A 15,796-nucleotide genomic window follows, 5' to 3' on the forward strand; every position below is an offset into this window, starting at 1 on the left:
GCGCAAGGGTTGGGAGACCCTGGTTTAACCCACCCAGTCTGTAGTCCCCTGTCATGGGCAGCCTAAACAAAACTAATGCAAGCACCTGCCCCTGCAGGCAGTGAGCATAGGCTGTTTCCAAGCCCACCAAAGAGGCCACCTCTCTTGTAATTATAGTTGTATTTCTCATTGATGACAGATATAAAAATCCTTAATGCCACATTGTTTGGGGGACCTCAGAAAAGGCAGGGATAGGCCAGGCACCATGGCTCATGCCTGTAATCCCAGCACTTTGGGAGGCCGAGGCAGGTGGATCACCTGAGGTCAGGTGTTCAAGACCAGCCTCACCAACATGGTGAACCCCTGTCTCTACCAAAAAAATACAAAATTAGCCGGGTGTTGTGGCAGGTGCCTGTAATCCCAGCTACTCGGAAGGCTGAGGCAGGAGAATCGCTTGAACCCGGGAGGCGGAGGTTCAGAGAGCCGAGATCCCGCCATTGCCCTCTAATCTGGGCAGCAAGAGCGAAACTCCATCTCAAAAAAAAAAAAAGTGAATGTCCAGTCAGGCACACATGGCTCATGCTTGTAATCCCACCACTTTGGGAGGCCGAGGCAGGTGGATCACCTGAGGTCAGGTGTTCGAGATCAGCCTCACCAACATGGTGAACCCCTGTCTCTACTAAAAAAATACAAAATTAGCCAGGTGTTGTGGCAGGTGCCTGTAATCCCAGCTACTCAGAAGGCTGAGGCAGGAGAATCACTTGAACCTGGAAGGTGGAGGTTCAGAGAGCCGAGATCCCACCATTGCACTCTAACCTGGGCAACAAGAGTGAAACTCCATCTCAAAAAAAAAAAAAAAATAGTGAATGTCCAGTCGGGCACACGTGGCTCATGCCTGTAATCCCAGCACTTTGGGAGGCCGAGGCAGGTGGATCGCAAGTTCAGGAGTTCAAGACTAGCCTGGCCAATATGGTGAAACCCCGTCTCTACTAAAAAAAATACAAACATAAGCCAAGTGTGGTGGTGGGCGCCTGTCATCCCAGCTACTTGGGAGGCTGAAGCATGAGAATCGCTTGAACCTGGGAGGTGGAGGTTGCAGTGAGCCGAGATGACTCCAGTGCACTCCAGCCTAGGTGAGAGAGTGAGACTCTGTCTCAAAAACAAACAAACAAACAAACTATCCAAAAACAACAACAACAAAAAGAAAAGGCAGGGATACCAGATGAGAAGGCAGACATTTCCAGAAAGAATAGGTGTGTGGATGATATTTTCTAGCCATAAGTTTTTTTTTCTTTTTTTTTTTTTACATAATGACTGTATCAAAATAGCACATGGCACCTGCTAGAAGGATGCTGGCTAACTGGTACCAATTGCCTACATCCTATGACTCATCATGTCCCAGGTACGAGTGCCCACGTAGGTGGTGGTCGTAGCTTCTGTTCTCATCAGCTTGATTTTTCAGAAAATTGTATCCTGGAATAGCCACTTATTGGCATTAGAGAGAGAAAGATGCTGATTATAATAACTCCTGTGGCTTGAAGTATTGGGTCCAAGCTGCTACTAAGTTAACTGGAACATGTTCTATTCATTTGTTAGTGCCTAAAATTAACCAGGCTCCTTGAGGCCCTGAACACATTGTTCCGGAAATACATCAGTATTGATCACTGCTGCATTTCCTCATTAAATAGGGCAGCTGGGGTATTTTTAGCACAAAACACTGAAACAGAACAAAATGTGATTATCTATGTCGTTATGGTAATACAGAAGTCCCAGATTTGACTTCTTTCAAAAAAAGAGGTCTTTATATTCATAAAAAAGAGACAGACAGAAAGATGGAAAAAAGAAAGAGAAAGAAAGAAAGAAGGAAAGAAAGAGAAAAAAGAGAGAAAAAATAAAGAGAAAGAAGAAATAAAGAAAAAGAAGAAAGAGACACAGAGAGAAAGAAAGAAAGAAAGAAAGAAAGAAAGAAAGAAAGAAAGAAAGAAAAAGAAAAGCAAGCAAGCAAGCAAGCAGGAAAGAGAAAGGAAGAAAAAGAAAGAAAGAAAGAAAGAAAGAAAGAAAGAAAGAAAGAAAGAAAGAAAGAAAGAAAGAAAGAAAAAGAAAGAAAGAAAGAAAGACAAACAAAGGGAGAGAAAGAAAAAAGAAAGGAAGGAAGGAAGGGACTGGGCGTGGTGGCTCACGCCTGTAATCCCAGCACTTTGGGAGGCCGAGGCAGGTGGATCACGAGGTCAAGAGATTGAGACCATCCTGGCCAACATGGTGAAACCCCATCTCTAATAAAAATACAAAAATTAGCCGGGCATGATGGCTGGTGCCTGTAGTCCCAGCTATTCGGGAGACTGAGGCAGGAGAATCGCTTAAACCCTGGAGGCAGAGGTTGCAGTGAGCTGAGATCACGCCACTGCACTCCAGCCTGGTGACAGAGCAAGACTCTGTCTCAAAAAAAAGAAAGAAAAATAAAGAAACAGAAAGGAAGAAAGAAAAAAGAAAGAAGGAAAGAAAGATAGACAGATGAATTTGTTCAGCGGGAAACAGGCGTATCAAGTTATTTTATTTTATTTTATATTTTATTTTATTTTATTTTATGAGACAAGGTCTTACTCTGTCACCCAGGCTGGAGTGCACTGGTGCAATCATGGCTCACTGTAGCCTCGACCTCCTGGGCTCAAGCGATCCTCCCACCTCAGCCTCCAAAGCAGCTGAGACCACAGGCACACACCACCATGCCTGGCTAATTTTTAATTTTTTTTCTGTGCAGATGGGGTCTTGCTATATATTGCCCAGGCTGGCCTCAAACTCCTGGCCTTAAGCAATCCTCCTGCTTTGGTTTACCAAAGTGCTGGGATTACAGGCATGAACCACCACAATTGGCTGATTCTTTAAACAAAATTAATAAATATCTGGCAGAATCTTAACAGTGAGAAGATACTGTATTCATTGCCAAGGGCTGGGGCAGTGCAGAGGTGAAAGAGATACATTGAGGATCAGATGCAGAATGTTGGAGTGGTTCACAGTTTAGTATAACCCAGCATATTGGGGGTGTTGCAAACGAAGCCAATCCGGCCCCCTGCACGTTACTGTCAATAAAGTTTTATTGAAACATGGTCACACACACATTCTTGTGCACACCGTCTGTGGCTGCTTTCCTGCCACAAGGGCAGAGCTAAATCCTTGCATGGCAGACTGTGTGGTCCACAAAACTGAAAATATTGACTATCTGGCTCTTCACTTAAAAGATTTGCCCACCTCTGGTCTAACTGGTGTTGGAGGAATGCTTCGTAGTGACTCAGCCACTCCTGGTTTCTTTTTTCTTTTTTCTTTCTTTTCTTTTCTTTTTTTTTTTCTTTTTTTTTTTTTTTTGTTTTTTTTTTTGAGACTGTGTCTTACTCTGTCACCCAGGCTGAAGTGCAGTGGCTTTATCTCAGCTCACTGAACCTCCGCCTCCCGGTTCAAGCGATTCTCCTGCATCAGCGTCCTGAGTAGCTGGGATTACAGGCTCTTGCCGCCATGCCCTGCTAATTTTTGTATTTTTAGTAGAGACAGGATTTCGCCATGTTGGCCAGGCTGGTCTCGAACTTCTGACCTCATGATCCACCCACCTCGGCCTCCCAAAGTGCTGGAATCTTACAGGTTTGAGCCACCACGCCCAGCCCAAATAATTTTTATTTAATATATTTAATATAAATATTAAATAAATAAATTTACTAAATATAAATGTTAAACAAATGTTTATTCATTAATATAAATATTACACAAATATTTATTTAATATTTATCTTAATGAATTAATTTACATAAATTTATTCATTTATATCTTACACAAATATTTAATATTTTTATTAAGGAATTAAATTTATTAATTATATATTACACAAATATTTAATATTTATATGAAGGGATAAATTTAAATAAATTTATTCATTTATATATTACACAAATATTTAATATTTATATGAAGAATAAATTTAAATAAATTTATTCGTTAATATATATTACACAAATATTTAATATTTATATGAAGGAATAAATTTAAATAAATTTATTCATTAATATATATTACACTAATATTTAATATTTATATGAAGGAATAACTTTATTTAAATAAATTTATTCCTTCATATAAATATTAAATAAAAGTATACAATAAATAAATTTATATTAAAATATATTTTTTAAAATCCTGTTACCAAATATATGTATTTGGATATAGCAGAAGCACGTGAAAGAGGAAAATGACCATCACAGCAGCATTCTTGGAATTATCTACTAAGGTAAAGGAGCCCCTTGGGGCAGGTGGTGATCGCTAATCGAGGATCCCCTTGGAGAGCTGGTTGGTTTTGACTTGGTGGTCCTCTCTCCTGTTGGTTTCCGGGGAGTGGTCAACACATGGGCAGACAAGGTATATAGCTCTTTTTGGGGTCTATGGAGAATCAGAGCCCCTCCATGAACCCAGCTAAAGAGGCAACACATGCTTAATTCCATTCCACACTCAGGGAAGTCAACTCTAACAACGCAGAAGAAAGATGAGAAGGACAAAAATGTCCATTCGGTTTGAGAGATGAACTCCCACATCTGTGGGCAGAAGGCCAAAGTTAGCCCCAAAGGCACACCCCGTCCACTCCAGGTGCTGTGTGTGTGTGGGCGTTAGCCTTCCAGGGACTTCACGGCCAAGAAGACAATTGCCCCACGGAGCTGGGACGACCCTCTTTTCTGAGCCATTTCAGAATGCCAGCCAGGGAATTCCTATTGAGCAGGTGCAAAAGTACGGAGGACAGATAGAATAGAATTTAGACCCAGGCTGGGTGCAGGGGTTCATGTCTGCAGTCCCAGCACTTTGGAAGGGTGAGGCAGGTGCATTGCTTGCATCCAGCCTGAGTGATACACAAAGACCCCAACTCTACACTTGTATAGACATTTACAATCTACAGTTGGGAGTATAGACATTTAGTACAGACAGAATGTCTGTCCAGGCCTAAATTCTATTCTTTTTTCCTCTTTTTTTTTTTTGAGGCAGGGCCTCACTGTGTCACTCTGGCTGGACTGCTGTGTTACAACCTCGGCTCACTGCAACCTCTGCCTCCTGGGCTCAGGCGATCCTCTTGCCTCAGCCTCCCAAGTAGCAGGGATTACAGGTGCGTGAACCACCATGCCCGGCTAAGTTTTGTATTTTTGGGAGAGTTCGATCTGTCTCGTTTTCGTCTCTTCCTTATCACTTGTGGATCATCAAGGCGTTCAGAGTCCTTCACGGGACACCAAGAGGCCAAGTTCTTGTTTTGACTTTACCATGTCAGTACATTAATTTCTTCTTATTGATTTATTTACGTATTTATTTTGAGACAGATTCTTGCTCTGTCGCCCAGGCTGGAGGGCAGTGGTGCCATCTCGGCTCACTGCAACCTCTGCCTCCAGGGTTCAAGCGATTCTCCTGCCTCAGCCTCCCAAGTAGCTGGGATTACAGGCACCCGCCACCATGCCCAGGTAATGTCTGTATTTTTAGTAGAGACGGGGTTTCTCCATGTTGGCCAGGATGGTCTCGAACTCCTGAGCTCAGGAGATCCACCCACCTGGGCCTCCCAAACTGCTGGGATGACAGACGTGAGCCACCATGCTTGGCCTATCTTTCCCCTGTTGAATCTGTTTCTCTGGAAGGGAAGTTTGCAAAAAAGAAAAAAACCTTAACGTATGAATAAATGATGTCTACAAAAAGCAAATCCTACAGTCACGGGTGCAGGTACATTTTTCTTTGCAATTCTAGCAAATTCTCCCCTTGGGAATACAAAATACGCCATTCTTTTTTTTAATTCTTGTTTTAAGGATGGCCACTGTCACAGAACATGAGTGAGGGACGGTATCTGCGTACGTTGAAAATGCTCACGGTTTCTGGTGCAGAGATTTCTCTGGAGTAATGGCATTTTTCTGTGTGGCAGTTAGCATTTAGAGTGAATAGAGTTTTTCTCTCTCTCTTTTTTTTTTTTTTTTGCAGTGTTATGCACTCGAAAATGTCATCTTTTTTCTATTCCTTTTAAAATCAAATTACAACCTGACATTCAATAAAATATCTTTTGCGCAACTAATAAAAACAAGACCCTCGCTGCCTTGACAATTAAGGCACGGGGTCCGACACGCCGCCTCCGATACAGTTTACGGCTTCCCTTTGATGTCAGGGTTTCCTATATTAAAAAAAAAAAAGAGCCCCATTATTTATTAATAGCCTTCTGTGTTTTAAACGTTTCTTTTTCTTGTGTGGAGAGAAAAAAAAATCATTTGCCTTTTAATGGGGTGTCAGATTTGCTTTCGAAACCTTCTAAAAGGTTATCGTTGTTGAATACGAACAAGTTTCTTTCTGCGGAATCAATGAAGACTCTGTTTCCCGGGCTGCTCCGTGGAAAACTTAATTTCACCATTTTGCAAAGTGCAGGGCTGGGACGTTTCACTGCGGTTAACTATTTTCACATGGAAGGTAAAGAAAAATGCAAAGTCCTCACACGTACTAAATAACCTGCAGGCTGCCTTATGTCCGGGACGTCTTGCAACGGCCTGGCGGTTAGAGCTCACGGAGATGTCCAGTTCAATTAGATGCTTCGTAAACCTGCTAGCAATTAACTCAGCCAGGAGCTGAGACCGAACACCAGGACTAAGAGGGGGTTACATCCCGGTCCAGGAGCTGAGACTTAACTGCCAGCTCCTGAACTACCTCGAGGCCGAGCTAGCAGTATCTACCAGCTTGACTAGCTGCCCTGGAGAAAATGACCCACCTCCAAATTCTATATTTTTATTATTATTATTATTTTTTGAGGCAGAGTCTCACTCTCTGTCCCCCAGGCTGGAGTGCAGTGGTGCGATCTCGGCTCACTGCAACCTCCGCCTCCCGGGTTCAAGCAATTCTCCTGCCTCAGCCTCCCGAGTACCTGGGACTACAGGCGCCCACCACCAGGCCCGGCTAATTTTTGGTATTTTTAGTAGAGACGGGTTTTCGCCATGTTGACCAGGCTGATCTTGAACTTCCGACCTCAAGTGATCCGCCCGCCTCGGCCTCCCAAAGTGCTGGGATGACAGGCGTGAGCCACCACGCCCGGCCTCCAAGTTCTATTGTAACCCATCTCTAACTTTGATTGTAACTGTAGGGAGGACAGATAGAATAGAATTTAGACCCAGGCTGGGTGCAGTGGTTCATGCCTGCAGTCCCAGCACTTTGGGAGGCTGAGGCAGGTGCATTGCTTGAATCCAGGCTGAGTGGTACAAAAAGTACCCTCAACTCTACAGTTGGAAGAGTAGACATTTAGACCTGGACAGAGTGTCTGTCCAGGCCTAAATTCTATTCTTTTTTCCTTTTTTTTTTCTTTTTGAGGCAGGGCCTCGCTCTATCACTCTGGCTGGACTGCCGTGGTACAGCCTCGGCTCATTGCAACCTCTGCCCCCTGGGCTCCTGCCTCAGCCTCCTGAGTAGCTGGGATCACAGGTGCCCGCCACCACGCCTGGCTAAGTTTTGTATTTTTGGTAGAGTTGGGTGTTTTTGTGTGTGTCATTCAGGCTGGGTTCAAGCAATCCACCTGTCTCGGGCTCTCAAAGTGCTGGGACTAACAGGCGTGAACCACTGCACCCAGCCTGGGTCTAAATTATATTCTACCTGTAGGCAGGACAGATAGAATAGAATTTAGAGATGGGTTAGAATAGCATTTAGAGATGGATTATTTTTTGTTTGTTTGATTTTGCTATAGGGCAGGGTGCTCAAAAGCAGCTGTGAGTCTGTTTAGATAACAGTGGACAGGCCGGGTGGGGTGGCTGATGCCTGTAATCCGGCACTTTGGGAGGCCGAGGCGGGCGGATCACGAGGTCAGGAGATTGGGACCATCCTGGCTAACACGGTGAAACCCCATCTCTACTAATACAAAAAATTAGCTGGGCGTGGTGGCGGGCACCTGTAGTCCCAGCTACTCAGGAGGTTAAGGCAGGAGAATGGTGTGAACCTGGGAGTGGAGCTTGCAGTGAGCCAAGATCGCACCACTGCACTCTAGCCTGTGGGACTGAGTGAGACTCTGTCTCAAAAAAAAAAAAAACAAAACAAAAAAATGTCATACGCAGGAGTGGCAAGTGGCAATTCTTTTTTTTTTTTTTTTTTTTTTTTTTTTTTTTTTTTGAGACGGAGTCTAGCTCTGTTGCCCAGGCAGGAGTGCAGTGGCACGATCTTGGCTCACTGCAACCTCCATCTCCCGGGTTCACGCCATTCTCCTGCCTCAGCCTCCCAAGTAGCTGGGATTACAGGTGTGCACCATTATGTCGAGCTAACTTTTGTATTTTTAGTAGAGATGGGGTTTCACCATGTTGGCCAGGCTGGTCTCGAACTCCTGACCTCAAATGATCCACCCACCTCGGCCTCCCAAAATGCTGGGATTACAGGCGTGAGCCGCTGCACCCAGCCTACTTTTACAGTGTCCAGGACAATGTCATTTTCACTGAAATATAATTAATTCCATTCTTCTTCAAGGTATTACATGTAAGAAGTTGAAAGGTCACCTTGTTTGTGTATGGATTATTGGTGGCTGAACTGCCTCTGAAATTCCTCTGTCATTGAGAAGAGCAGGGGTAGGTGTTCTGAGGGTGTAGAGAGGTGAAAGGAACAACCCGTAGTGGAGTTAATCCCAGGACCGTAGGTGACCCAGGGTTGATAAAGTCATCTGTGAGAAGTAAATGATATAAACAGGGTCAGGTCAACCTGTACAGGACTATGAACTTAATACACTTTACCTTAATAGACTGCTTCCTTGCTGTGATGAGTTCATGAAGTAGAAAGGGTGTCACCAGCCCACAGCCTGCACAGGACCAGGACTTCAATGCACTTGACCTCTCATTCCCTGAGTGAGGAACCCATGAAATGAGGGGGAGTCTCACCAGCTCAGAACCTGCACAGGACTAGGACCTCAACACACTTGACCGTTCTTTCCCTGTGTGAGGAATATATGAAGTGAGGAGGAATCTCACCAGCCCAGAGCCTGCACAGGATGAGGACCTCAATACACTTGTCCACTCTTTCCCTGTGTGAGGAATATATGAAGTGACAAGTGTGTCTCCAGCCCAGAGCCTACACATGACTAGGACCTCAATACACTTGACTTCTCCCTCCTCATGTGAGGAATAGATGAAGTGACGAGGGTCTCATCAGCCCACAACCTCCACAGGACCAGGACCTCAATACACTTGACTTCTCCTTCCCCATGTGAGGAATAGATGAAGTCACGAGGGTGTCACCAGCCCACAGTCTGCACAGGATGAGGACCTCAATACACTTTAACACTCTTTCCCTGTGTGAGGAATATATGAAGTCACGAGGGTGTCATCAGCCCAGAGCCTGCACATGACTAGGACTTCAATACACTTGACTTCTCCTTCCCCATCTGGGGAATAGATGAAGTCATGAGGGTGTCACCACTCCAGAGCCTGCCCAGGACCAGGACCTCAATACACTTGACCACTCTTTCCCTGTGTGAAGAATACATGAAGTGAGGAGGGTGTCACCACCCCAGAGCCTGCCCAGGACCAGGACCTCAATACACTTGACCACTCTTTCCCTGTGTGAGGAATACATGAAGTGATGAGGGTGTCACCAGCACAGAACCTACACATGACTAGGACCTCGATACACTTGACTTCTCCCTCCTCATGTGAGGAATAGATGAAGACACGAGGGTGTCACCAGCCCAGAGCCTGCACAGGACCAGGACCTCAATACACTTGGCCCCTCCTTCCCTGTGTGAGGAAGATATGAAGTGAGAGGTTCTCATTAGCCCAGAGCCTGCACCAGACAAGGACCTCAATATGCTTGGCCTCTCCTTCCTCATGTGAGGAATATATGAAATGAGAAAGGTCTCACCAGCCCAGAGCCTCCACAGGATCAGGACCTCAATACACTTGACCTGTCCTTCCCTGTGTGAGGAATAGATGAAGTGAAAATGGTCTCATCAGCCCAGAGCCTGCATTTTCATTCCACTCTTCCAATTTGGCCACAACACTGTAGAGTTGGACAGTCCCAGAGCCCCCCAAAATAGTCACTGAAGCCAAAATATCAGGAAGAGAAGAACTAGCTGTCTTTTCTATGCCATATTTTATCAGTGCAGACAGCTTTGAGGCTGATGTTCAAAGAATCCAAAAAAGGTAAGCATTTAATTATTTGTCCTTAATTGTAATACTCATTAAGGATTCCACCTTTATCATTAGCATATCATAAGATATCTTTCTTATGCAGATGAAAGTTGTGGAGATTCACTCTCTAGACAGCATTTAGTGAGATTAGGGTACTCAACCTACATCCATATCAAGGTAGCAGAAACGCATCTGAGAAAATTTAACCACTTATTTTGCCATGGTTCATGGAGATGACCTTAAGTGTGTCTGTCACCAAAAGGGACTTTGTAGGGTGAGAGTGATATAGTACATTGTCAAGGGAAGTTTGCTGATATCTAAGGCTGTTTTCTGGAATCTCCCTGTTGTGAGGAATCTATAAGGTGAGGAGGGCGTCATCAGCCCAGATCCTACACAGGACTAGGGACTCAATACACTTGACCTGTCCTCCTCTGCATGAGATCTGATGTCTCCATATCTTTTCCTGGTATGGCTCACAACCGAAACTTCACCTGAGTACAACAAAAACCCAGCCATGTTTTGCTGGGGCCACATCACATCCTTCCCATGATGGATTCTTTGGCCCAGTTTCCAGGGAGTATTCTTGGGTTTATCATATGTAGATACAGTCCTTGTTACCTCGACCTTAAAGCATCTTTGGCTGGGTGCAGTGGCTCATACCTTGATCCCAGCACTTTGGGAGGCCGAGGTGGGTGGATCACTTGAGGCTAGGAGATCAAGACCAGCCTGGACAACATGGTGAAACCCTGTCTCTACTAAAAATACAAAAAAAAATGAGCTGGGATTGGTGGTGTGCACCTGCAGTCCCAGCTACTGGGGAGGTTGAGGCAAGAGAATTGCTTGAACCCAGGAGGTGGAGGTTTCAGTGAGCTGAGATCATGTCAGTGTACTCCAGCCTGAGCAACAGAGTGAGATTCAGTTTTGTTTTTTTGTTTTTGTTTTTGTTTTTGTTTTTTTGAGACAGAATCTCACTCTGTCCCCCAGCTGGAGTGCAGTGGCGCGATCTCGGCTCACTGCAACCTCCACCTCCCGGGTTCACGCCATTCTCCTGCCTCAGCCTCCCAAGTAGCTGGGACTAAAGGTGCCCACCACCAAGCCCGGCTAATTTTTTGTACTTTTAGTAGAGATGGGGTTTTACCGTGTCAGCTAGGATGGTCTTGATCTCCTGACCTTGTGATCTGCCCACCTGTGCCTCCCAAAGTGCTGGGATGACAGGCGTGAGCCACTGCGCCTGGTGAGATTCAGTCTTAAAAACAAAAAAACGAAAAGAAAAAGAAAAAAGAAAGCATCCAGGTGATCTTCCCTATGGGTCATAGATGTCTTCACCCAGGGTGAATGTAGAACCGTGCACACCCAGACAATGCTGAGAATGAAGTGTGTAGGACTCAGATACAGATGATCTCAGGTAGAGGCTGCAGCTAGAAGCATTATTAAAGGTCCACATTAGCTTTCCCTCCCCTTCTCCCTGGGATGCTGCTACCCTCATTGAAGCTTCAGCCACCACATGCTCTCTACCGAGACGGCAGCTTCCCAAAGTGCTCCTCAACTCCCATCCTTGACTTCTTCCAGTCATTCTCCACGTAGCAGCTAATATTCTTTGAAGTCAAATTACGTCATTCTCATGCCTCTAAGGTAGGAAGCAGGACATGACCGCAGAGGCAGGGCTAAGACACTGGACCAGGTTGAGGACTAGCTAAAGCAGGTCTAGGGCAGAAGCAGCTCTCCATTAGTGATGTGGTTTGGCTGTGTCCCTACCCAAATCTCATCTCGAATTGTAGCTCCCATAATTCCCATGTGTTGTGGAAGATAATTTCATCATGGAGGCAGTTCCCCCATACTGTTCTTGTGGAAGTGAATAAGTCTCATGAGATCTGATGGTTTTAGAAGGGTAAATCTGTTTCATGTGGTTCTCATTCTCTTCTTGCCTGCCGCCATGTAAGAAGTCCCTTGCTCTTGCGCGATGATCGTGAGGTTTCCCCAGCCAAGTGGAAGTGTAAGTCCATTAAACCTCTTTCCTGTATAAATTATGCAGTCTTGGATATGTCTTTATTGGCAGCATGAGAACAGACAAATACGAAAGGACACACCCACCAGTACCATGTCATGCTACAAATACAATAAGACACACCCACCTGGTCCCATTTCCATGACAACACCCAGATGTTACTGCTCCTTTCCATGGCAATGACCCAATGACCCAGAAGGGGGTATATTTTTTTTCTAGAAATTACTGCAAAACCTGCCCCTTAATTTGCATGTAATTGGAAGCATTGATAAATATGATTGTGGAACTGCCTCTGAGCTGCTACTCTGGACTCAGTGCCCATGGGTAAGCCTGCTCTGCAAAGACCAGCACCTCTGCTGCTGCTGTGAACTGCCACTTCATAACAGTTGGTGGGACTGTCAATTAGTTCAACCACCGTGGAAGACAGCGTGGCAATTCCTCAAGGATCTAGAACCAGAAATAGCATTTGACCCAGCAATCCCATGACTGGGTACACACCCAAAGGATTATAAATCATTCCACTATAAACACGCATGCATGCGTGTCTTTATTGCGGCACTGTTCACAATAGCAAAGACTTGGAACCAACCTAAATGCCCATCAATGATAGACTGGATGAAGAAAATGTGGCACATAGACACCATGGAATACTATGTGGCCATCAAAAAGAATGAGTTCATGTCCTTTACAGGGACATGGATGAAGCTGGAAACCATCATTCTCAGCAAACTAACATAGGAACAGAAACCAAACACTGCATGTTCTCACTCATAAGTGGGAGTTGAACAATGAGAACACATGGACACAGGGAAGGGAACATCACACACTGGGGCCTGTCAGGGGATGGGGGGTTAGGGGAGGGATATCATTAGAAGAAATACCTAATGTAGATCATGGGTTGGTGGGTGCAGCAAGCCGCCATGTCATGTGTATACTTATGTAACAAAACTGCACTTTCTGCCCATGTACCCCAGAACTTAAAGTATAATAATAATAAAAAAAAGTTGGTGTCTAACACCACCAGCTCACTCTTGAGTTATTTTCTAGATGAGACCAAAAACCCTTCCAGGCTAAGCCCCAATTTGGGGCTCACCTGCCCAGCGCCATCTCCAACCTTCACCTTCAATTTCTTCTGTTTCTTCCCCGGGACATGGAATAAATCCACCCTGGACTTTGAGCCCCAGATATGGGGATGTAGCAAACTTCTCAGGCTCCCACCCACAGTGTGCCCACTCTGCAGCTCCTTTTTCCATGTCCCTAACACTCTTAGCTCTTTCCAGCCTCCAGGTGCTGGACGTGGTGGGTGCCTCTCCCTGTAGTTCCCTCTCCAGCTCATATGTGGCTCTTTCTCTCTCTTCTTCTTCTTCTTCTTCTCCTCCTTCTCCTTCTCCTCCTCCTCCTCCTCTTCCTCCTTTTCCTCCTTTTCCTCCTTCTCCTTGTCCTTCCCTCCTCCTCCTTCTCCTCCTTCTCCTCCTCCTCCTCTTCTTTCTCCTCCTCTTCCTTCTCCTCCTCCTTCTCCTCGTCCTTCTCCTTCTCCTCCTCCTTCTCCTTCTCCTCGTCCTTCCCTCCTCCTCCTCCTCTTCTTTCTCCTCCTCTTCCTTCTCCTCATCCTTCTCCTCCTCCTCCTTCTCCTCCTCCTCATCCTTCTCCTCCTCCTTCTCATCCTTCTCCTCCTCCTCCTCGTCCTTCTCCTTCTCCTCCTTCTCCTCCTCCTCCTTCTCCTCCTCCTCATCCTTCTCCTCCTCCTTCTCATCCTTCTCCTCCTCCTCCTTGTCCTTCTCCTTCTCCTCCTTCTCCTCCTCCTCCTACTCCTCCTCCTCCTTCTCCCCGTACTTCTCCTTCTCCTCCTCCTCCTTCTCCTCCTCCTTTTCCTTCTCCTTCTTCTTGTTTTTTTGTTCTTCTTCCTCTCTCCACCCCACCCCTCATCCTTCCACAGTCTGGGGAGCTTAAACAACAAATATTTATATTCTCTGTTCTGGAGATCAGAAGTTTGAGATGAAGGTGTCTCAGGATTGCACTTCCTCTGCAGGCTTTAGGGGAGGATGCTTCCTGCCACTCCCAGCTCCTGGGGGGTCCAGGCGTCCCTGGGCTTGTGGCCTCATCACTCCAGTCTCTGCCTCCATCTCCATGTGACCTTCTCCTCTGTGTCTGTGTCTCCTCTTCTGTCTCTTAGAAGGACACCTGTCATTGCATTTAGGGCCCAGCCTAATCCAGGATAACCTCATCTCAAACTCCTTCAGTTCACTGTATCTGCAAAGACCCTATTTTCAAATAAGTTCTCGTTCACAGATACTGGGAGCTTAAAACTACAGAAATTTATTCTCTCTCTGTCCTGGAGACCATGACTCTGAGATGAAGATATCTCAGGGCCGTGCTCCCTCCACAGTCTCTAGGGGAGGGTCCTTCCTGCCTCTCCCAGCTCCTGGGTGCTCCAGGCATCCCTGGCTTGTGGCCGCCTCACTCCAGTCTCTGCCTCCGTCTCCACGTGGCCTTCTCCTCTGTGTCTGTGTCTCCTCTTCTGTCTCTTAGAAGGACATTTACCATTGCATTTAGGGCCCATCCTAATCCAGGATTATCTCATCTCCAGATCCTTAATTACATCTACAAATAACCTTTTTCCAAATGAGGTCCCATTCCCAGGTTCCTGGGCTTAGGACATGGACATATCTTTTGGACGTCACCACCCAACCCATTGCAGTTGTGTTTTGTTCTTCCTGGAGGCTCTAGGGGAGGGTCCTTCCTGCCTCTCCCAGCTCCTGGGGGCTCCAGGCATCCCTGGGCTTGAGGCCCCATCACTCCAGTCTCTGCCTCTGTCTCCACGTGGCCTTCTCCTCTGTGTCTGTGTCTCCTCTTCTGTCTCTTAGAAGGACACCTGTCATTGCATTTAGGATCCACCCTAATCCAGAATGATGTCATTCTAACTTAACTGCATTGGTAAAGACTGTCTTTCCAAATAAGACGACGTTGCCTAGTTGTAGGGCTTTGGAGTTCAACATTTTTTTTTTTTTGGAGAGCCCCCTATTCAACCTGTAACATTAAATATTATATATTATTCCCCTCTTCAACCCATAACATCATATATTATATATTATAAATGGTTGTTCTTTCTACATTATCAACATATCATTATCTATTTATATTTTATAAGTGCTTTAGAAAGAAAGAAAATGAATGGGGTTATATGATGAATGAGTCAGCTGTGTTCATCCCTCCTGATGGAAAATGAAGGTGGCCAAAATGCTAAATTGAGAATTCATTTGTCCCCTAAAGATATAGCCTTAGTAGGCCAGCATGAGGCCATTTTCTTGTCTTCCTTTTCCGTTCATACGATGATCTATATTCTATTCTCCTTATACACTAACTCTGTGTGATCTTTGCCTAGATAAACTTTCATCAAACGACTAATGAACAGAAAGTTTAAAAAATAGATTAATCACCAAATAATTGCGTTCGGAGTGTGTCCAAGTATAGAAAAATCAGGGCATTCGCAGATAAGAACAGATTTCAATATTTATGAAGTACTTTTTCTATAATTAAGAAGAATTCTGCAAAAGATTTTTATTGTCATTATTCTTTTGAATCTTAATCCATAAATGGTTATCAAATCATTAAAAGAAAAATGTATAACCCCAACATGAATTATCTTTCCTTTGATGAGCCTGGCAGAATATCAGTC

At 45.1% G+C, this 15,796-nt stretch overlaps 4 annotated features.

The window, feature by feature from the left end:
• Positions 5,954-6,623: an enhancer, noted in NCBI's record as "CNE4 PCR-amplified transgene fragment". NCBI's record gives its function as "enhancer in day 2 and day 3 zebrafish embryo fin, cardiovascular system, brain, skin, muscle, notochord and ear" and the evidence as "EXISTENCE:transgenic organism evidence [ECO:0001131][PMID:21731768]".
• Positions 5,955-6,609: an enhancer, noted in NCBI's record as "CNE4 PCR-amplified reporter construct fragment". NCBI's record gives its function as "enhancer in ovo in chicken limb buds, and in human U2OS osteosarcoma cells" and the evidence as "EXISTENCE:reporter gene assay evidence [ECO:0000049][PMID:17200153, PMID:26631348, PMID:22791839]".
• Positions 6,234-6,319: a conserved region, noted in NCBI's record as "conserved region; CRCNE00011095 more deeply conserved sub-region". NCBI's record gives the evidence for it as "EXISTENCE:sequence alignment evidence [ECO:0000200][PMID:21731768]".
• Positions 6,241-6,340: an enhancer, noted in NCBI's record as "CRCNE00011095 PCR-amplified transgene fragment". NCBI's record gives its function as "enhancer in day 2 and day 3 zebrafish embryo skin, with some activity in fin, muscle and heart" and the evidence as "EXISTENCE:transgenic organism evidence [ECO:0001131][PMID:21731768]".

This window comes from Homo sapiens, chromosome X (genome assembly GCF_000001405.40).
Source record: "Homo sapiens chromosome X, GRCh38.p14 Primary Assembly".
Classification (NCBI taxonomy): Eukaryota; Metazoa; Chordata; class Mammalia; order Primates; family Hominidae; genus Homo; species Homo sapiens.